General features: G+C 48.9%; 2 protein-coding genes across 9 annotated transcripts in view, besides 3 other annotated features; one reads left to right on the top strand and one right to left on the bottom strand.

Annotated features, from left to right (window-relative positions):
* The window catches only part of TXNL4A (thioredoxin like 4A), a 63,124-nt gene extending 52,208 nt beyond the window's left edge, over nucleotides 1–10,916 (top strand). For 5 of the 8 annotated variants that reach the window (NM_001305564.2, NM_001305563.2, NM_001305557.2 and 2 more), the window contains 2 exons: nucleotides 4,028–4,131; nucleotides 7,873–10,916. In NM_001305564.2, the coding sequence (NP_001292493.1) occupies nucleotides 4,088–4,131; nucleotides 7,873–8,044 (216 nt within the window). In that variant the 5' untranslated portion in view covers nucleotides 4,028–4,087 and the 3' untranslated portion in view covers nucleotides 8,045–10,916. Of the gene's footprint in view, nucleotides 1–4,027; nucleotides 4,132–4,941; nucleotides 5,012–7,872 lie in introns of all 8 variants that reach the window. The other 3 variants (NR_131176.2, NR_131175.2, NR_131177.2) reach the window with 2 other exon arrangements.
* HSBP1L1 (heat shock factor binding protein 1 like 1) lies at nucleotides 10,907–17,086 on the bottom strand. The gene is made up of 4 exons (NM_001136180.2): nucleotides 16,943–17,086; nucleotides 15,051–15,117; nucleotides 13,546–13,640; nucleotides 10,907–11,289 (listed from the first exon to the last, which is right to left on the bottom strand). Exons 1-4 carry the CDS (start codon nucleotides 16,991–16,993, stop codon nucleotides 11,278–11,280), a joined length of 225 nt encoding a protein of 74 aa, NP_001129652.1. The 5' UTR covers nucleotides 16,994–17,086; the 3' UTR covers nucleotides 10,907–11,277.
* Nucleotides 16,860–17,429: a silencer, noted in NCBI's record as "silent region_9584". NCBI's record gives its function as "represses an Ori minimal core promoter by ATAC-STARR-seq in GM12878 lymphoblastoid cells {active_cell/tissue: GM12878}" and the evidence as "EXISTENCE:reporter gene assay evidence [ECO:0000049][PMID:35858748]".
* Nucleotides 18,525–18,604: an enhancer, noted in NCBI's record as "active region_13547". NCBI's record gives its function as "activates an Ori minimal core promoter by ATAC-STARR-seq in GM12878 lymphoblastoid cells {active_cell/tissue: GM12878}" and the evidence as "EXISTENCE:reporter gene assay evidence [ECO:0000049][PMID:35858748]".
* Nucleotides 20,993–21,677: an enhancer, noted in NCBI's record as "OCT4-NANOG-H3K27ac hESC enhancer chr18:77720052-77720736 (GRCh37/hg19 assembly coordinates)". NCBI's record gives its function as "activates a minimal SCP1, AML or CMV promoter by ChIP-STARR-seq in naive and primed H9 embryonic stem cells {active_cell/tissue: H9 hESC(naive and primed)}" and the evidence as "EXISTENCE:reporter gene assay evidence [ECO:0000049][PMID:30033119]".

The raw sequence follows: 22,487 nt of genomic DNA, 5'->3' as shown, positions 1-22,487 counted from the left end.
ATCTTTAAAGTTACAGTTACTCAGTTGCCCTCTGATTATTGTTGTTGTTGTTAGTTTGAGAAGGAGTCTCGCTTTGTCCTTCAGGCTGGAGTGCAGTGGCACGGTCTCAGCTCACTGCAATCTCCACATCCTGGGTTCAGGTGATTCTCCTGCCTCAGCCTCCCAAGTAGCTGGGATTACAGGCGTGCACCGCCACACCCAGCTAATTTTTGTGTTTTTAGTAGAGACAGGGTTGCACCACGTTGGCCAGGTTGGTCTCGAACTCCTGACCTCAAGTGATCCGCCCGCCTCAGCCTCCCAAAGTGCTGGGATTACAGGCGTGAGCCACCTCACCTGGCCCTGCACTCTGTTTATTAAATGCCTACAAATTATTAAAAACCACAGATGCTTATAATATTTACTATTTTTTACGTGCAAGAAAAGGGATGGTAAAAATTTGTTGTGACCTTTCTTTTTTCTTAAGTACACAATTTACAACCCTGTCCAAATGATATTTCAAGTAATTTATTATTTGCATGGTGATTCCGTAAGTTAATATGATGTTACTGGTATTTATTGTATCTGTCCCTGAGCAAGGCATTGAAGGGAGAATAATGAAATATTATTTTGACTTTCCTAATGCCTGTGACCATTTATTTTGTTGGTGTATTTATTTTAGCTTCTGTAGGGAAGTATTTTGTGTTTAAGTCAAATCAAAAGACAGTTTATTAGTTTACCATGAAAATAAAGCTGGATTCTGGCAACCTGACCAACACATTCTCACTGTGGACGCTGCGGGAAACTAGAGTTTCAGAAATGGGCGTTGTCAGAGTGACCGGACTCAGAGGGGCCCATGTCTAATGCAAACATCACTTTGGGGTTTTGAAAGCACATGGACGGGGAGTCGCATGCCCCTGCAGTGGGCCGTGTGCTCACTTTGGGGTTTTGAAAGCACATGGATGGCGAGTTGCATGCTCCTGCAGTGGGCCGTGTGCTCACCTTGGGGTTTTGAAAGCACATGGATGGCGAGGCGCACGCTCCTGCAGTGGGCCCTGTGCTGGAGTTCTGATACGGTTTTTTTCACCAAAGCTGAAGGGCAGTGGAGTCTTTGTGAAGTGTGGGCTTTCCCCCTCCCCCTCTCCCCACCCTGCTCCATGGTTTACATTTCCATCTTAATTTTTAAAAAATATTTCCCAAAGTAGAGAATATAGTGAACCCGTCTGTTCCTATTGTTCCACTTCAACAATTGCTGGTATTTTGCTGGTCTTGTGTTACCTAACCCCTCATTTTTTTAGGCTGTGTGTTTCATGGAAATCCCAGATATAATTATTTCACCTGTAAGTTACAGTCAGGTTGTAAAGATTTAGTTTTATATGAAGAAATGTTGTGCATATCCCATTGATTTCCCGTGACTGCTGTGAGAGGATGCTGCAAGCTGAGGGGCTTAAAACAACAGAAACTTCTCTCACAATTCTGGATACCAGAAGTCCAGAATCGAGGTGTTTTCCAGGCTGGGCTCTCTCTGAAACCTGCCAAGGAGAGTCCTCATGCTTCTCCCAGCTTCTGGTGCTGCCAGCAGCCTCTTGGAGCTCCTAGGCTTGTAGACGCCTCTGCAGTCCTCGATGCCCCCAGAGCCTCCTGTCCCTGTGTCTTTATGTGGCCATTTTCCTCTAAGGACACCAGTCACACCAGATTAGGGGCCCACCTACTCCAGTATGACCTCATCTTACCTTAACTGATTACGCCTGCAGTACCGTTTCCAAATAAGCTGCGCTGTCACTTTGGGGGTTTAGGACTTCAACTGTTTTGGGGACACAGTTTAACTCATAACACATGTAAGTGGCTACAAGCTTCTAAAGGGCATTGAGTTAGTATTTATAAAGAGCCTTTAAAATGTCATATCCTTTGTTCCAGAATTTTAGGAATTTGTCTTTAGGAAATAATGAAGTATGTATACAAATTTAAGGGGGAAAATGTTCACAGATGAATAATATTAATGAACAATCAGAGAGTAACAGAAGAATGGTGTAGGAGGCTCTTCTCGCATTGCTATAAAGAAATACATGAGACCGGGTAACTTATGAGAAAAGAAGTTTAATTGGCTCACAGTTCTGCAGGCTGTACAGGAAGTGTGGTACTGGCATTTGCTTCTGGGGAGGCCTCAGGACCTTCCAATCATGGCAGAAGGCAAAGGGGAACAGGCACGTCGCACGGTGAAAGCTGGGGCGGAGTGTCACACACTTGGAACAACCTCAGCTCACTACCCCGAGGACAGCACCAAGAGGATGACGCTCAACCATTGATGAGAAATTCATCCCATGATCCAGTCGCCTCCCACCAGGCCTCACCTGCAACGCTGGGAGTTACGTTTCAACCTGAGATTTGGGCAGGGACAAATATCCAAACTATATCAAATGGTAAAGTAATGGCATAGCCATTTGATGAATCACGCAGCCATAGAAGTTTGCCATTTTTGGAAAGTAGGTAATGTATGTAAAAGAATGCTCTTAATTGGCCGGCGCTGTGGCTCACGCCTGTAATCCCAGCACTTTGGGAGGCCGAGGTGGGTGGATCACCTGAGGTCAGGAGTTCGAGATCAGCCTGGCCAATATGGTGAAACCTCGTCTCTACTAAAAATACAAAAATTAGCCAGACGTGGTGGCACACACCTGTAATCCCAGCTACACGAGAGTTTGAGGCTGGAGAATAGCTTGAACCTGGGAGGTGGAGGTTGCAGTGAGCCAAGATCATGCAACTGCACTCCAGACCAGGCGACAGATCGAGACTCCGTCTCAAAAAAAAGAAAAAAAAAAGAATGCTCAAAATTAAAGCAGCATACAAAATATTGTAGTACGATCACAATATGACCATATTTTGCTATGTCTGAACAGAAATAATATGAACAAATTAAAAAATATATATCTATAAGAAAGGGGAAAGAATATAGTAAAAATATTGCCAGGCGTGGTGGCTCATGCCTGTAATCGCAGCACTTTGGGAGGCCAAGGCAGGCGTATCACTTGAGTCCAGGAGTTCAAGACTAGCCTGGGCAACATGGCAAAACCCTGTCTCTACAAAAAATACAAAAATTAGCCAGGTGTGATGGTACGTGCCTGTAGTCCCGGCTGCTTGGGAGGCGGAGATGGGAGGATCGCTTGAGCCCAGGAGGCAGAGGTTGCAGTGAGCCAAGATCTTGCCACTGCACTCCAGCCTGGGCAGCAGAACCAGATCCTGTCTCTGGAAAAAAGATAGCAGCAGTCACCCCTAGGTGTTGGGATTGGAGGTGATCTTATTTTCTTTTTATTTTTCTGACTTTTCTAAATCTCTGATAAACTTGCAATTAAAGAAAAAATAACAGAAAATGTGTTATATGCAGTATTATTGGAGGTACTATTAATATTTGCAAGTGTTCAGACCTAATTGCGGGGAAATGATGGCAGGATTCTACAGGTATATTTTAGAGCAGTTGTGAGATGCATGTAACTATTTGTAAAGGTTCATACAGATGATTACTAGATCAGCATAAATAATATGTCTGTGGACGTTTTCTGCAGGACTTTGATAACTTGTTACCTGAGTGAAATTTAATTCCTGGGCGATTCTGGGAGATGGTAAAGTGAGGCGGAAGGAGCCAGCGGCCAATTCCTGAACTATTCTGGGAAACGGTGGCGTGAGGCGGAAGGAGCCGGTGGCCAAGGTCCCAGTAGTGTCACATGATCTTCCCGCGTGTTTGCTGCACTGGGAAAAAATGTTGAAGAATTAGTTTGAAAATTGCCCCGTTGGCCAGGAGTGATGGCTCACTCCTATAATCCCAGCACTTTGGGAGGCTGAGGTGGGAGGATAGCTTGAGCCTGGGAGGTCGAGGCTGCAGTGAGCTGATTGCACCATTGCACTCTAGGATGACAGAGTGAGACCCTGTCTCAAAAAAACAAAACAAAAATTGCCCTGATCCACACAAATTCTTGGTTTTGTTTTTATAAATGTGCTTCTATAAAATGAAAGCCAAAGTGTTCTGTTATTTCAGTTTTTTTTTTTAATCTCCTTTTAGGTTAAAAATTTTGCAGTTATTTATCTTGTGGATATTACAGAAGTGCCTGACTTCAACAAAATGTATGAGTTATACGATCCATGTACTGTCATGTTTTTCTTCAGGTACGTTATCTTAAAGTTGTTACTGAAATTGAATATTGTCAGTTTGGAAGCTTAATGTAATCAAGATCTCTTTAGATTATTTTATTTTGAAGGAAGTTGGTTGTACAGTCATGTCCCAAAATCGTTTGTATCACCAGGCAATCAGTGTGAATCTTTGAAATAATTTTCAAAGTAACAATTCTAGTTTTAGCATTTACTCAGTAACAAATTACCCTTTTGAAATAACTTTGCGGGGAAACCTAGGTGAAGTGTAATTCAATGAAAGATGTTGTTACTGACATTTTAGATACCTGGAACTATAATCTGTTCATCAAAAATGTTGTAAAATCACAAATTTAGGCCGGGCACAGTGGCTCAAAGCGCCTGTAATCCCAGCACTTTGGGAGGCCGAGGTGGGTGGATCACAAGGTCAGGAGTTCGAGACCAGCTGGGCTAAGATGGTGAAACCGAGTCTCTACTAAAAATACAAAATTAGCCGGGCGTGGTGGTGCATACCTGTAATCCCAGCTACTGGGAGGCTGAGGCAGGAGAATCACTTGTACCCAGGAGGTGGAGGTTGCAGTTAGCCGAGATCATGCCATTGCACTCCAGCCTAGGCAACAAGAGCAAAACTCCGTCTCAAAAAAAAAAATCAAAAACCTAATTTATTAAATATGTTATCATCAACTTCGGTGTCCTTTTTTATATCCAAGAGGAACACCTGAACTACTTTGCTTATAAATACAAGATTATTTTATCAGCTCAAAAATTTCATTATGGAAATTTAATGGGGAAAGAAATCACCATCTGATGCTGTTTTTACTTGTTTAGTTACCATAGAGGTTGGTGAATTAGCTACATGAGCATTAGACCATTCTCCAAAAGTGGAGCCTCCTACTCGGTAAGGAAGGTCAGGTGGGTTGTATAGGGTATGCGTTAGTTTTGTATTCTTTGTAACAAATTAGCACGCATTGAGCAGCTTAAATCACCCCGCTTTTCTGAGCTCACAGTTCTGTAAGTCAGACATCCAGGCAGGGCCCGCTGGATTCCTGCTCAGGGTCTCACAAGGTCTGAACCATGGGCTGGGTGCTTATCTGGAGTGTTTGAGGGGCTTGTTTGGGTTGTGGGCCGAGTCTGGCTCTTCGTGGTGGTGGGTCTGAGATCTGCTTCCTTGCTGCTGTTACCTGAGGCCACTCTGCTGCCAGAGACCCAGTTACCCTCAAAGCCAGCACTGGCATGCCGGCACATTGAGAACTTTTCACACAGGTTCTCTGACCTGAAAAGTTCTGCCTGAGAAAATGCTCTGGTTTTAGAGGACTGTGATAAGATTAGACTTGCCCAAATAATCCAGGATAGTGACCTTGTTTTATTTATTTATTGAGATGGAGTCTCACTCTCACCCAGGGTGGAGTGCAGTGGCACCATCACAGCAAGCTTGAACTCCTGGCTTCGAGCCATCCTCCCGCCTCAGGCTGCCAAAGCGTGAGGCACTGCCGTGGTTCTGGGCGTCGGGATACGCTCCCCTGGACACGCCCTTGGCTTCCTAGGTGCCTCCTGTTAGGTTGAGAAGATCTGTGAGGTGCACCCTGCATTTCTTGTGAACTTTTCATCTTTCCTAGGTTTCAGCAAAGGTTGCGTGGCTGACCCTCATCCTTTTCTCTACTGTGTGTTCAGCAGCCATTTCTGAATTTCAGCCCCTTTGGCCATCCGGAGAGGCTAAAGAATTTATTCCTTTTGTTAACAGTTCTTACACTAATTTGCCTCTTTCCTCTCTTGAAGGCAGCACCTCCGAGACTTTGCTTGGAAGTTTCCGCAGCTAAATATCCCGAGTGTGTTGCTTTTGAGCTCTGACTTCCTATAACTGCGGACCCCGTGTCCCTGTTCCTCGGCCACTCTGTAACGGGGGTCCCCTTTTCTCCGTTTCCCAGTAACACACTCCTCACTTCCTTCCAAGCCCACACCAGGTGTTCCTGAAGTCCATATTTCTGTTAACAGCCTGTTCGAGGCAATAGAGGCCTTTTCTATTTTGCCCCTCAGAATTCTTCAGGTGAGAACAGGGAGGGCCGTCTTAGGTCTCTGCCCCCCACAGCGTGCAGTGGAGGCCAGCCTGGGGCTGGAGATGCTGTGAGGGGCAAGGAGGCTGCAGGCAACAGCCTTGGGTGGCGGGAGCAGCCTACTTAGTGTAGTTTGATATTTTTAGGACTGATGCTGTACTCAGAAAAGGAGATGAAACTTCCTTCTGCTGTTTCTGTGATTTAGAATTTTAAGACAAACGGTACTTTAGTTAACTTATGCACCAAACATATATCTTGAGCCCCCACCAGGTTTGTGGTCTAGTGGTGGAGCCTAATGTCAGATAAGACAGGATTCCCACTCTCATAGGACGTTGTCTGATAGAAACAGCTGAGTAAATTAGCAGGGGGTTCTGAAGAAGTGAAAGGAGGCAGATGTTTATGAGATATAAATACCGAAGAAGTACACCCAGGTCAGATAGGGCTGCAGGGAGGGTGCTACGGGCAGCCCCCAGTCATTGTAGAAGGAGCTTGGTGCATGCTGCATGTAGGGCCTGCCTGCAGCATGGAGAATGAGAGGGCGGCCAGAGGTGGGCTCCAGACCCTGATCAGATTTGCCTCTCCTGAACCAGAGACTTCACGGGGAATACTTTCTACGGAATAGTAGGTGGAAGCCAAATGCATGATCTTGTGGAAGTGAACGTTAAAAAACAGTCTTTAGGTGGGGTATGCCTGCAGCCCAGCCACTCTGCAGGCCGGGGTGGGACTGGAGCTAGGGGTTTGAGTCCGGCCTTAGCAACATAGCTCGCATCTCTAAGAAAAATAATCAGGCCGGCACAGTGGCTCACGTTTGTAATCCCAGCACTTTGGGAGGCCGAGGTGGGAGGATCACTTGAGGCCATGAGTTTGAGACCAGCCTGGCCAACATGGGGACACCCCATCTTTACAAAAAACTAGAAATTTATCTGGGTGTGGTGGCTCGTGCCTGTGGTCCCAGTTACTTAGAGGGCTGAGGTGGGAGGATCATTTGGGCCAGGAGGTTGATTTTGCCACTATGCCCTAGCCTAGATGACAGTGAGACCCCATCTCAAAAAGAAACTTCAACAAACCAGGATAAATTTATGCCAGTACAACAAAGGGTTAATATCCTTATCTTGTAAAGTGCACATGAGTATTCATGAGGAAAAGAACTAGTCTCTTGAAAGATAAGTAAAGAATTATCTACTTCCCTAACCATAAACATGCAAAATGTCATCTTCATTTCATAGTTGAAGGGCTTTTAATACAATTTATGTCATTGCTCATAAGAGCACTGTGAAAAACTTACACATTGCTTTTATCAGGTAAATTAGTACAAATTAGATGGGGGTCTCATTTTGTTATCCATGTTGATCTCGGACTCCGGGCCTCAAGTGATCCTCCTGCCTCAGCCTCCCATAGAGTTGGGATTACAGGCATGAGCCACTGCGCCTGCCCTCCTTTGACCTTTTAATTTCCCCTTAGAATAACTGTCCTAAATAAATACAGAAAAATGCAGGAAAGAGCATGGTGGACAATGCATTGCATCTTTAAAAACACATTTAGCTGCTTCCTGTATTCTCCTGCATCATGGCATACACTCTCGATTTTATGCGTTCTTCAGTGATGTTAACAAGAGCTTGTCACAGTGGGAAAAATACGGCATTGTTTTCAAGGAATTCTTTTTTAAAGAGACTTCTATGAGAATGGATGCCCTTGTTTCTCGTTGCAGGAACAAGCACATCATGATTGACTTGGGGACTGGCAACAACAACAAGATTAACTGGGCCATGGAGGACAAGCAGGAGATGGTGGACATCATCGAGACGGTGTACCGCGGGGCCCGCAAAGGCCGCGGCCTGGTGGTGTCCCCCAAGGACTACTCCACCAAGTACCGCTACTGAGGCGCCCTCAGTCTGCGCGGATAAATGTCGTGGAGCCCTTTTTGTATGGAAACGTTTTAAGCTATTTAAAGCCTTTGGAAAATACAGGAAGCTCCAGGGCTGGAGCACCTCTGAGATGGAATTGATAACATGGTCTTAACTCACCGAAATAAACAAGCACGTGGTGAGAGGAGCAGGCCTACTTGTTTGTTCTCAGGAAACTTAATGAATAGATTACTGATTTTCCTAGTCAAAGTTAATTCTTACCCTTGGAGTAAAACGAAGGTGTTTATCCTGTGAGCCTGTGCGTTTTGCATACTGGGTTGGTTTGCTGGGGCTGCGGTGACAGCATATGCCGCGAGCTGGGCTTTAACAGAGATGTGTGCTCTCACAGCTTTGCAGGCGGGGGTCTGAGATCAGGGTGTCGCGGGTGGGGGGTCACTGCTGAGGCCGTGAGGGGAATCTGCTCAGGCCTGTCCCTGGCTTCTGGGGGCTGCTGGTGGTATTTTCAGTTCCTTGGTGTGTGGATACTTCGCCCCATCTCTGCCTTCACCTGTGTCCTCCCTGTGTGGGTGCTGGTGTCCAAAATTTCCCCTTTTCGTAGTGACACCAGCTGTGTTGGATTGGGGCCCACCCTGCTCCAGCATGGCCTAATCTTAACTAATTACATTTGCAAGGATCTTATGTCCACAAAAGTCACAGTCTGAGGTGCTGGGGGTTAGGACTTCAATATATAAATTTTGCGGTTACACAATTCAATCCATGACAGAATCCAAAGGTTTACTCTGGTTATAAAAACAGTACAATAAAATATTGTTTATAGCCTTCCCTGTAAGGAATAGGAGAGCTATTTTTTATTCTTCCCAAGATTGTATTTGATGTAAACATATTTTCTGTAGAAGCCATGGCCCTTCAGTTCATATAGTTAGAAAATTTCCTTATTGGCCAGGCACGGTGGCTCACACCTGTAATCCCAGCACTTTGGGAGGCCGAGGTGGGCAGATCACGAAGTCAGGTGTTCGAGACCAGCCTGGCCAACATGGTGAAATCCCGTCTCTACTAAAAATACAAAAATTAGCTGGGCATGGTGGCGCGTGCCTGTAATCCCAGCTACTTGGAAGGCTGAGGCAGGAGAATTGCTTGAACCCGGGAGGTGGAGGTTTCAGTGAGCCGAGATCACACCACTGCACTCCAGCCTGGGCAACAGAGCAAGACTCCGTCTCAAAAAAAGAAAAGAAAATGTCCTTATTACAGTCTCAGGTTTCTCTTGCCCTCTGTCATCCTAGCAGTGTGGATGGTTGGTTGGGATCTTCGTGTCCCGTCTCAGCACACTCGAGCTCTGAAGTGAAAGTGAGGAAGGGCAGGGATGGGGGCACTTGAGCACACCGTGGGCCCTCTGACCTCAGACCCAGGCTCTGCCCCACCAAGTGACCTTGGGCAGGGTACCTTCTCTGAGCTTTGTTTCCTCCTTGGTAAAGGCGGATAATAGTGTCTGCCCTGCACACAGATGTGGACGCAGAAGCACGTGGTGCCTGCCGGGCACAGGAGTGGTGCACAGGGCTCGCTGCTGTCGGGAGATTGATTGCTGTTGTGGAAACGGGAGGGTACTTACAGAATGAAGCACATTTTTTACATACAGTACAAATGAGTGTGTGCTTTTTAAATGGATTTAAAATTCAAATGCAAATCTGCAGTTTAATCTCCCAAGTGCTGATTTTTCTATGTATAAAGTAGGAGAGTGCAACAGCGTATCGGAATGAGGGGCTAGGGAGAACGTGTATGTGACCTCGAGTACCTGGCATGTAACAGACACTCAGTATTACACTCCTGCTATTTCTCCAGAGCAGGTGAAACAGACGGCCAGGAAGCACACGAAGAGACACTCAGCATCACTGCTTGTTAAGGAAGGTGCAAATCAAAACCACAGTGAGACGCCACTTCACACCTACAAGTTCGGCTAGATACAAAAAGATCGCAACAAGCGTTTGCAAGGATGTGGAGAAATTGGAGCCCTCACACACTGCTGGTGGCAAAGTGGTAACACAGGCAGGCAGGTCGTCAAAAAGTTAAACATGGGCCGGGTGCAGGTGTCTCAAGCCTGTAATCCCAGCACTTTGGAAGGCTGAGACAGGCAGATTGCTTGAGCCCAGGAGTTCACGACCAGCCTGGGCAACCTGGTGAGACCCTGTCTCTACAAAAAATACAGAACAATTAGCTGGGCATGGTGGTGCGTGCCTGTGGGCCCAGCTACTCGGCGGGCTGAGGCAGGAGGATCACTTAAGCCCCAGAGGTCAAGGCTGCAGTAAGCCATGGTTGTGCCACTGCACTCCAGCCTGGGCAACTGAGCAAGACCCTGTCTCAAAAAAATAAAAAAAGATAAACATGGTGTTACCATTTGACCCAGCAGTTTCATACCCAGGAGAATTGAACGCATATGTCCACATAGAAACTCGTACACAGAAGCCAAAATGTGGAAACCCACGTGTCCATCAACAGATGAACGGTTAAACAAAATGTCCATCCATAGAACGGAATATTATTCAGTCATAAACAGAATGAAGTACTGTAAGTGAAAAGCCAGTTACTACATATTGTGTGATTCCATTTATACGGAATTTCTAGAATAGGCACATCCATAGAGACGGATTAGTGGTTGCTTAAGACTGGGAGGGAGGGGGAAATAGGAGGTGACAGCTAATGGGCAGTTTTATTTTTGATGTAATGAAAATGTGCTTACATAAGCCGAGCAGGCATAAACAGAAAAAGTGCCCTAAGATTGTGATAATGGTACAATTCTGTCAATTGCATAATTGGTGGATGATGTGTGAATTATGTCTCTTAGGATAACAGCTTTACTGGCGTTACCAGAAAAAGATAAAATAATTACATTCCACATTTGTAAGTTTATTGTATATTTATTGTAAATGTGTTGCATATTGTATTAGTCTGCCCAGGACTGCCATAACAAAATACTTCAGATTGGGTGGTTTAAACAACAGAAACTTGTCTTTTCACAGTTCTGTTTTCTGGAAGTCCCAGATCAAGGTGCTGGTCCGTGTGATTTCTGGGGAGGGCTCTCCTTGGCTTGCCGATGGCCTCCTTCTCTGGTGCAGGCACGGAGGGGAGAGCAGGCGAGCCCCTTGCGTCTCTTCTCAGAAAGACGAATCCTGTTGGATGAGGGCCCCACCCTCAGGACCGATGTAACCTTAATGACTTCTGTAGAGGCCCCATCTCCAAATACAGACATGCTGCAGTTAGGTCTTCAGCTATTTAGGGAGACATAAACGTTCAGGCCGTAACTCCTATCAGGTGTATTAAGTATGTTCACCCCTGATTTTAATAACGTTCTCACTGGTGCTTTGTGGCTGCAGTACAGTTGAAATCATAATGATTTGGACTCTGTATTTCAAGTTTATCTCATTATGTACCTGCTGTCTACCTTGCCCTGACTTAAGTGCTTTGCAAGCAATTTTCTTAAATCCTTACAACCACTTACCAGGTAGATATTTGGCAGAGAAGAAAACTAAAGCTTAGATTTCCCCAGGTTACAGCCAGCAACAGAGGATAAGAATTTGAAACCTAGGCCTGCATGGCTGCCAAGCCTTGCCTCGTCTGTGGCACTGTGGTGCTTTAATCAAGTTGGATATACTAGTGGCTCTCTGGGTACCTAGTGAATTCTATTTCCCATCTCCCCAGGATGGCTTCTAGGCAAAGTCCAGAAATTACTTGTGGCAGCTAATGCAGGTGACAAGCCCCTAGGTACAGAATAACCAAGTCCCCTAGAGAAACTGGCAACGTGTACACAAAGAAGTAGACAAGAATAGTGCAGCATTGTTTGGAAACAATATTAGTCAAATATAAAGTAAATCATCAGAGGACTATCAGGCAGCAGTTGGCGACTGACCTAGAGCGACACGTGTCGACATGAATCTCAGTACTGAACAAAAAAGCAAGGGGCAGAAGGCTACAGAGTATGGGGCCACTGACATACTGCTTTAAGACTTTCAGAATAAACGTCTGAAGGTTATGATGCCAGTGTGTCTGCAGGAAACTTGGTTAGGTGTCTGGGGGAAGACTGCCTCTGCTCTGAGCGCACGCAGAGAAGGGATGAGGACTTCAGTCCACCAGCAGAATCAGAGCACTGCCATCTCTGCCTACCTGAACAGACCACACCCAAAAATTAAAATGCAGGGTGAATTCACGGCTCACCAGCTTTCTGACCTGGAGGTTCAGAGGATCCCTGGGGAAGCATCCGCGTGGGCACAGGTGGGAGGACCTGCTCAACGTGGGCGCTATTCTGCATCGTTTTTTTTTCTTTCTTTCTTTCTTTCTTTCTTTCTTTCTTTCTTTCTTTCTTTCTTTCTTTCTTTCTTTTTCTTTCTTTCTTTCTTTCCTTTCTCTCTCTCTCTCCCTCCCTCCCTCCCTCCCTCCCTCCCTCCCTCCCTCTCTCTCTCTCCTCTCCTCTCTCTCCTCTCTCTCCTCTTTCTTTCTTTCTTTCTTTCTTTCCTTTCTTTTCTTTCATGTTGTCTCGCTCTGTCGCCCAGGCTGGAGTGCCGTGGCACAGTCTCGGCTCACTGCAAGCTCTGCCTCCCGGGTTCACGGCATTCTCCCGCCTCAGCCTCCCAAGTAGCTGGGACCACAGGCGCCCGCCACCACACCCGGCTATTTTTTTTTTTTTTTTGTATTTTTAGTAGAGACGGGCTTTCACCATTCACAGGATGGTCTCGATCTCCTGACCTCGTGATCCGCCCACCTCGGCCTCCCAAAGTGCTGGGATTACAGGCTGAGCCACCGCGCCTGGCTTCTGAATCATTTTTTCTGTTATTTTTACTAATGGCTTTAAACATGCCTCTGATCCTAGCATTCTTTTGTGGCATGTTTACATTCAGCATCAGAAGCTGTGAGAATGCCTACAGTGCCCTGATGAGGTTCGGGTTGCACTGGGTGGCCTCAGATGCCCTGCAGAGGAGGCACTTTGGGAGGCCGAGGCGGGTGGATCACCTGAGGTCAGGAGTTCGAGACCAGCCTGGCCAATAAGGTGAAACTCCGTCTCTACTAAAAATACAAAAACTAGCTGGGTGTGGCCGGGCGTGGTGGCTCACGCCTGTAATTGCAGCACTGGGAGGCCAAGGTGGGTGGATCACCTGAGGTTGTGAGTTGGAGACCAGCCTGGCCAACATAGTGAAACCCCGTCTGTACTAAAATACAAAAATTAGCTGGGTGTGGTGGTGCATGTCTGTAGTTCCAGCTACCTGGGAGGCTGAGGCAGGAGAATGGCTTAAACCCGGGAGGTGGAGTTTGCAGTGAGCCAAGATCATGCCACTGCACTCCAGCCTGGGCGACAGAGCAAGACTCCACCTCAAAAAAAGAAGAGAGCATTTGGAAATTTATTATTCCTGAGCAGTTTTCATGCAGCACAGAGGCAGCAATTCCCATAGTGAACAAATATGGGATTGTATGTTTCAAGATGAAAGCAGTCAAAACATACGAAAACGGTTGACATAGTTTGCTAATAACCTTACCATTTGTTCTTTAATAGAATTTTCAATGCCAGCTTGCACCATTAAGTCCTTGACATTCTTCTGTAAGTCCTCAATGCGATTTCCCATTTCTTCCAGTACAGTGTTAAGGCGCTCTGCGTAGAGCTGGAGTCCAGAGCCGCCGAGGCACAGCCAGGATGTCCTCAGAGACTCCGCCTCCCATGGCACATGCAACTTTTGAAATGAGGGAATCAACGACAGGCCTAGTGTCCATGCAAATCAGCTTCTTTCCCTGAGTTTTCCTCAGTGTGTCTCTTTAACCTTTAAACTGTGAGCTTAGAAAACGTGGCTCCCCTTGCTTGGACATGGATTTGGGGACAGGAGATTGTCTGGTATATTTTAGTCAAACTCTGGGTATGTAAAAATAAATATAATGGAATTAACTCTTTTTTGTTTGTAGGGTCTTGCTCTTCCCCCAGGCTGGAGTGCAGTGGTGTGATCACAGCTCACTGCAGCCCTGAACTCCTGGGCTCAAGCGATCCTTCTGCCTCAGCCTCTCGAGTAGCTGGGACTATAGACTACCACCCAGCTGAAATTAACTAAAAAACTAACATTCATATGGTTTAATTTTATGTTTAAGACTCATTTTTGTCCTGTGGGAACCCATTTACAAAATCAAAAGTTGCAAGCACACAATATTTAAGGAATATATTTAATTGTGTAGCATGAGCTCAAATTGGGCAAGTCTTGGGGCAATTGTGACCCTTATCTAGATTTGCTCCAACTCCAAAAAAAATTATATTCTCATTCTGTTTGATTTCATGTTTCTAAGACAAAACAGTGAGTTGGCGATGTTAAACTAAACAAAACAAAGTTTGGGAGAGCCGTATCTGGGATCCTGTGCTTCAGTGTTATGCTCTGTGGGGTCTATGGTCTAGGGGGCACTGTCCGGTTGGGGACTGATGGAAGCCCCACTGGGAAGTGTTATATGTTTGTGTTTTTGTCCTTTATACTTGCTGCACAAGACATCCTGTGTTGCCAGTCAAGCAGGAGGTAGAGCTTTTTTTTTTTTTTTTTTGAGACGGAGTCTCGCTCTGTCACCCAGGCTGGAGTGCAGTGGCGCGATCTCGGCTCACTGCAAGCTCCACCTCCCGGGTTCACACCATTCTCCTGCCTCAGCCTCCTGAGTAGTTGGGACTACAGGCGCCCGCCACCATGCCGGGCTAATTTTTTGTATTTTTAGTAGAGACGGGGTTTCACTGTGTTAGCCAGGATGGTCTCCATCTCCTGACCTCGTGATCTGCCCACCTCGGCCTCCCAAAGTGCTGGGATTACAGGCGTGAGCCACTGCACCCGGCCGGAGGTACAGCTTTTGCTATAGGTGAGGGGTAATTAACACATCAGGAAGCCACATAAAAGCACAGAAGTAAATACTGGGAAATCCTAAGTAAACTATTACCTACTACTACCAGACAACAAAAAGATACTCCATGATAATCTACCAGTCCGAAAGAATCACAGCATTTGTTAAAGGTAGAAAAGGATATTTCTGAGGTTTAATGTTGCCGTCAGAGCTTGAAAATGTTCCTGAAGTTCCTGAAATAGATTTTCTGCCTGAAAAAATAAACCGTAAGACAATTGAATAAATATTTACTGTTGGCATATGAGTTTTTTTTTTTTTCTGAGATGAAGTCTTGTTTTGTTGCCCAGGCTGGAGTGCAATGGCGCGATCTCAGCTCACTACAACCTCCGCCTCCTGGATTCAAGTGATTCTCCCACCTCAGCCTCCAAGTAGCTGGGATTACAAGCATGTGCCACCAGGCCCAGCTAATGTTTATACTTTCAGTAGAGACGGAGTTTCACCATGTTGGCCAGGCTGGTCTTGAACTCATGGCCTCAGGTGATCTGCCCACCTTGACCTCCCAAAGTGCTGGGATCACAGGCATGAGCCACCACACCTGGCCCACGTATGACATTTTAAATATCATGGGATAAGGCCGGGCGCGGTGGCTCACGCCTGTAATCCCAGCACTTTGGGAGGCCGAGGCGGGTGGATCAGGAGGTCAGGAGATCGAGACCATCCTGGCAAACTAGGTGAAACCCCATCTCTACTAAAAATACAAAAAATTAGCTGGGTGCAGTGGCGGGCGCCTGTAGTCCCAGCTACTCGGGAGGCTGAGGCAGGAGAATGGCGTGAACCCGGGAGGCGGAGCTTGCAGTGAGCCGAGATCGCGCCACTGCACTCCAGCCTGGGCGACAGAGTGACACTCCGTCTCAAAAAATAAAAATAAAAAAAATAAATATCATGGGATAAACCCATCCATAAATCTGTTGACTTCTGACAAAGGTGCTAAGGCCTTTGGATTCAGAGGGAAAGGAAAGTCTTTTCAACAAGCAGCGCGGGAATCATGAGGGCCACGTGCAGACGGGGCAGGGACCCATCCCCCTCCTCACACCACACACCATGAATGCAGGAGATCACACACCTTGGCCCAGAGCCAAGGCCATAAAGCATGCAGAGGAGGATGCAGGAGAAAATCTCGTGACCCTGCGCTCCTCAAGAATTCTTATGAAATTACTTACCAGGTCACACAGAAATACCACCATTGCTACTGAAAGCGTTTCCTGTTTATATACTGCTTTGTAGTTTACAGACTGACGTCCCACACCATTCACGGTGTAATCTACTCCTCACCCTGCGACCGTGTCCAGGGTGAGATGAGAACAGTGAGGCTGAGAAGCACAAAATTCTCCCAGCTGGGGGTTCAAGATCCCAGGGAGCCCCACGTACCATGGTGTGAATCTAGAATCCCGTCGACATAGGAGGAGGCCCCACCTCTGAACCATGCCAGGGCTTTCTACCTTTGTCAGGAAATTTACGTTAGGGTTTGCACAACGCCCAACACATTCCTTCAGATTCCAGGTCTCTTCCTCATAGCCAGTCCTCTTGTGGGCCTGGAACTCTTTGGCAAGTAGGAAGGCCTGGGGAGCGGGAGGATTTCCCGGAAGAGGCCGGAGCCCTGGGCGCTGCGACACTCGTGGGTCCCCTTTCGGGCACCCTTTGGCCCAGTTGTTTCCCCACTGACCCCGACCTCAATGCCCCCCAGTACTGCAGGGCTCCCCCCAGGACCTCAGGCCCCCCGAGGATCGCAGGGTCCCCCAGGACAGCAGGGCTCCCCCCTGCACCTCAGGCCCCCCCAGGACCGCAGGGTCCCCCAGGTCTTCAGGGGCCCCCCCAGGACCACAGGCCTCCCAGGCACTCAGGACTCCTCAGGACCACAGGAGTCCTCAGGATCGCAGGCCCCCCAGGACCTCAGGGCCCCACGAAGACCGCAGGGCACCCCCAGCACCGCAGGCTCCCCCCCCAGGACCTCAAAACCCCCCAGAACCGCAGGGGCGCCCCCATCCAGAGAGAAGCAGGAGTCGGGGAGGGGCTCACCGCGTCCCGCAGCGCGCGCCCGCCGGGGGCTTCAGGGCCCCGCACGTCCATGTGGACCGCTGGCCGGGGGCGTCAGTGGGGGGTCCCGTGGGCCGCGCGGACCCGGCGCGAGGTGGCGACAGCTAAGCTCCGCGATTCCCGTATGGGCCGCCGGGAGGCCTCGGGCGGAGCGCGCTGCGTTCCAGGGCGGAGGCGGGGCCGGAGCGGAGAGGCGGGCGCTGCACCTGCAGGGACGCAATGTCACCGAGCGGCCGCCTCGGAGGACTGGTCCGCGCCCCCAGGCTCTGCGGCTTCCCGAGCCGAGCCGAGCCGAGGCCCCGGGACGGCCTGGGCGGAGCCGCCTTACTCAAGAGGGCCCGTGGGCGCCACCGGCCACCTACACCCCCAAAACGCTCCGCACGGGCAGTGCATGGGCCTCGGTCACCCCTGCTGCGTTTCTCAGAGACGGGGGCTCGCTCTGTGGCCCAGGCTGGGGTGCAGTGGCGACTATGGCTCCCCGCAGCCTCGACTTCCCGGGCCCAAGCGATCCTCCTGCCTCGGCCTGGCCAGTAGCTGGGACCACGGGCGCGCGCCACCAGGTCCGGCTGATCTTTTTTATTTTTTGTAGAGACGGGATCTTACTATGTTGCCCAGGCTGGTCTCGAATTCCTGGGCACAAGTGATCCTCCTGCCTCGGCCTCCCAAAGTGCTGGGACCGCAGGCCTGGGCCACCACGCCGGGCCTTCCCTGGCCTCTTTCACACCTGGGTTGTGGCTCGTCACCTTGTGGGTGACCTCCCAGGACGGTGTTTTAGGGTTACCAGTCTTGTTGCCATGTCTGTGCCCCTGTGCAGCGCTGTGGGAACAGGGCTATGTCTGGTCACCCCAGCATCCCTAGGGCACAGCCCAGTGACCACACCTGGAAGCTCTGGTGTCTCCATGTGCGGATAAATAAAACACAGCCACCCAGCACCACCGCTGTGGCGTGGCGGTTCCCGCCAGGTTACTTCAGGGCGGATGTCTGTGGCCTGAACCCTAAAGGCCAGGCGGTGAGTCCAGGCCACGGTGCCCAGCGAGGAGCAGGTGTCCCTGAGAACCCAAACAGCCCGGAGGGGATGTGAGAACCACCACAGGGAGCAGGCCCATCACACAGACGGCGCAAAGAGGCAGAAAATTAGCTCAAAAGCAGCTTAGGGACAGAAGCACGCTCATCTCTAGAGTTGTCCTGCTGCCCACGAGTGCCCCACATGTGAGTCCTAATAAACTCACCTACTCACCAAGCTGGACTCCGCCCAGTCATTCTTTGGTCTCTCAGCAACTCCCACTTTAGGGTAAGGTTTTAAATGTGATTCTCGGTTTTTCTCATTACAACCAGTCATCAGGAAAACACAAACCAAAACCACAATGAGCTCCCACTGCAACCCACCAGCATGGCTAGAATCAGAGAGACAAACGTAAGTCCGAGAGGCGTGTGGGGATTGTGGCCCCCCCCACGCAGCCGGTGGGCTGTGAAAGGCTGCAGTGCTGTGAAAAAGTCGGGTGGGTCCTCAGAAGTGAAGCAGTTTCCACAGGGCCCAGCCGCGCCACCCCTAGGCATATACCGAAACGACAGCGCGAGTGCACCAAGTCTACTGCAGCATCAGTAATGCTCAAAAGGTGGAAACCACCCAAATGTCCACCCCCAATAAGTAGGTGACAAAATGCAGATGATAGAATATTCCTCAGCCACACAAAGGAGTGAGGCGCTGACGCACGCTACGAAGCAGGCGGGCCTCCGGAACAACGCTGGGTGGCAGAGGCCAGGCGTGAAGACCCTGAGTGGTAAGTCCATGGAGAGTTGGAACAGGCAAGGCCACGGAGACAGAAAGTTGACTTCTGTTGCTGGGGGCTGCAGGGACGAGGGAGAGTGCGGAGAGATTTAGGAGGTCTGGGGTTTCTTTGTGGGGGGACAAAAATGTTCTAAAATTAGATCGTAAGAAGGTTTCACAACCCTGTAAATATACTCAAAACTGTTGAATTATGCCCTTTAAATGGGTGGGTTTTGTGGTATGTGAATTACATTTCAATGAAGCTGTTAAAATTATTTTTTAAAAGCATGGCCATTTTGCCACTTTTTGTGTGCTTTTAGCATCCTCCTCTTTTTTTCTGTCTCTGAGAGAGGCTGAGATACAAACTTAGTTGTAGGGGCCAGTGTGGACGGCTGAGAAAGACGCGGTGTGGGTGGAAAGTGGCTGCTGTGCTGTGGCTCCCGGCCCACTCCCAGGACCATTCAGGCCTAAGGAATCCTGCCGGGCGGCTTCTGGCTTCTCGGGAAAGCCAGTGTGGGTGGCTGCTGAGGAGGAGGAGGCAGGGCCAGAAGATGCCACAGTACAGGGTGGACGGCCTGCACCCAGGAAAGCCTGCCTGGCGTGGGGGGCAAGGAGTACAAGCCGGTGGTGTTTCCATCAGAAACACACCTCAGTGTCAAGAACCAGAAGTCACTCAAGCTAACTTAGGGGAAAAGGAAATTACGCCTGTAGAGAGGAGGCAGACACAGCGGGCTGGCGTCAGCCCTCCAAGCTCTTCAGAGGGCGCTCATCTCTGGAGGCGGGAGGAGATGGGCAGTGGTGCCCCACGGCAGGGCCACGACAGGGTTCCTCATCAGCCCACAGGCAGCTTTCCTAACCACAGACAGCTAAATGAGCAGGGAGCCAGTCAGACTGCCCTCCTTCCTCCCTTCCAGAAAGTTCTAGAACGTCCCCTCTTCCCTTACTCTGCAGGCACGGAGTTCCCGGAAGCTTTACTCCAGGGACAGCCCAGCATCAAGCTCATGGCTTCAGGGGACGGCTCCCTCGTGGTGGGGGCAGGCGCAGACCCAAGGGCTTTCGGTGTCTCCAGGGCGGGGCTGCTCCCTGGCTGCCGCTCCTCCCTTACTCAGGCGGAGCAGGGGCCACAGAGCTCTTGACAGCACTGAGCTCACCAGTGATAAAGCACTTCGGACAGCCGTGAAGGCAGACTGGCGTTGGGACTTTGGAGAGCTTGTGGGCACCCTGTGGAACCCGTTATCTTCAGATGTTGACTGGCTGACTCTGGGTGCAGGTTCAAGCTGGGCACCCTGTCCTCATGGGCTATGCGTTCCTAACCACAGACAGCTAAACGAGCAGGGAGCCCCACTGGCCCACACGAGCCTGGAACTGGCCCTGCAGAAGACGAGACGAGCCTGCCTCTGACCTGGGAACGCCTCTCTCCTCTCCAGCCGGCATCGGCCAGGCTCATATTGGGCCGTCCCTCCAGCCCTGGCTGCTTTTTCAGGTCAGGCTTCTTGGGCAGCCCGAGTAGGACCACCCAGCATCGCCGCACACAGCAGCCTCAGGCCTCACCGACATAGGCCGGGTGGTCTGTGGAGATGACAGGACTGCCTTTCTTTTTTCTGGGATTGGGTTTTGCTGTGTCACCCAGGCTGGAGTGCAGTGGTGCAATCATAGCTCACTGTAGCCTTGAACTGGGCTCAAGGGATCCTCCTGCCTCAGCCTCCCGAGTAGGTGGGACTACAGAGGCACGCCACCATGCCCGGCTACTATTTTTTATTATTTTTCTAGAGACAGGGATCTCCATATGTTGCCAGGGCTGGTCTCAAACTCCTGGGCTCAAGTGATCCTCCCACCTCGGCCCCCCAAAGCGCTGGACTTACAGGCACGAGGCCATGCTGGCCAAGGACTGGCTTTCGAGCAAAGCTCTTCAGCTGGATCTGATGGAGACAACACAGTGAAGGGGTGGGTTGCCCCTCCACACCTGTGGATGTTTCTTGTTAGGTGGAACGAGAGACTTGGAAAAGAAAGAGACACAAAGTATAAAGAAACAAAAAGGGGGCCCAGGGGACCGGCGTTCAGCATACGGATCCACACTGGCACCGGCCTCTGAGTTCCCTTAGTATTTATTGATCATTATCGGGCGTGGCAGCAGGATAATAGGATAATAGTGGAGAGAAGGTCAGAAGGTAAAAACGTGAACAAATGTCTCTGCATCATAAACAACGTAAAGAAAAAAGTGCTGTGCTTTTGATGTGCATATACACGAATATCTCAATGCCTTAAGGAGCAGTATTGCTGCCAGCATGTCCCACCTCCATCCCTAAGGCGGTTTTCCCCTATCTCAGTAGATGGAATATACAATTGGCTTTACACCGAGACATTTCATTGCCCAGGGACGAGCAGGAGACAGAAGCCTTCCTCTTATCTCAACCTCAAAGAGGCGTTCTTTCCTCTTTTACTAATCCTCTCAGCAAAGACCCTTTACGGGTGTCGGGCTGGGGGACGGTCAGGTCTTTCCCTTCCCATGAGGCCATATTTCAGACTATCACATGGGGAGAAACCTTGGACAATACCTGGCTTTCCCAGGCAGAGGTCCCTGCAGCCTTCCGCAGTGTTTTGTGTCTCTGAGTACTTGAGATTAGGGAGTGGTTTGAGGTTAGGGAGTGGTGATGACTCTTAACGAGCAAGCTGCCTTCAAGCATTTGTTTAACAAAGCACATCCTGCACAGCCCTTAATCCATTTAACCCTGAGTTGACACAGCACGTGTTTCAGGGAGCACAGGGTTGGGGGTAGGGTTACAGATTAGCAGCATCTCAAGGCAGAAGAATTTTTCTTAGTACAGAACAAAATGGCCCTCTGCTCAAATTCTACAATGCCAATATGGACTGCGGGTCTTCAAAGTGGTCTCCTCTACCTTAGGAACACAGCAAGAAAATGATGTGCATTCTCGATTTCACAGCTACTGGAGGAGTCATCGGCCAGATCGGCCTAGCAGTTGTTTCTTTTTGACCCGATAAAATTATGTTTAGAATAGCTCTCAGTTTTCCTGCTCATGTTTGGCTTAGGATAAATGTAGAAATTGTGCCTTCCTCAGCATATGCTGCCTGGGTGGCGCATGAACTGACAAAAGAGAAACTGCCGAGTACTAGCCCAGGATGAATAATTGACCATGGGAATCTAAATATTAAAGAATATTAATGTGTATTCTGAAGTTACAGAAATTAGCCAGTCTTTCCCTGGTGTGAGGACAGACAATTGGGAAGAAAACAGTCTGGGTAAGACTGAAATAGCTAATTACGTGAGCGAAGATGCAGACTACAAGAGCAGAATGTAGACATGAAACAAAGCTTTAAATTAGAAAACCAACGTTTTATTTTGGATAGCTGAAAACGTCCCAGTCCAACCCAGTGTAGGGTGCAGCTGTCTTTATGAAGCATGGGTGTCCATGGAGGTGCCCAGTTGCCCCTCGGATCCAGTGTGGGTGGCCTTGTTTCTGAGGCCCTAAATCTAAGACGCTGCTGATTTTAGGGTGCACTGTTATTATCAGAAATGGAGAAACGCTGCCAATTAAACGTTAAGTTCAGTTCTTATTTTATACTCATTAAAAGAGCGATTTTATAATTATTGATGCTGGTTGATGGATACATGCCTTTCATTATGTTACGCTCTTTTGTGTTTGAAAAGTTTTATTTAAAAATTATATAAAAGCAGTTCTTTTGGGTATAGATTTGGGTATACAGATCTGAGTAGAGACTGTTGCTCCTTTCTTTTTTTGA

Source organism: Homo sapiens, chromosome 18 (assembly GCF_000001405.40).
Source record: "Homo sapiens chromosome 18, GRCh38.p14 Primary Assembly".
Taxonomy (NCBI): domain Eukaryota; kingdom Metazoa; phylum Chordata; class Mammalia; order Primates; family Hominidae; genus Homo; species Homo sapiens.
This window is presented reverse-complemented; position numbering and strand designations above follow the sequence as displayed.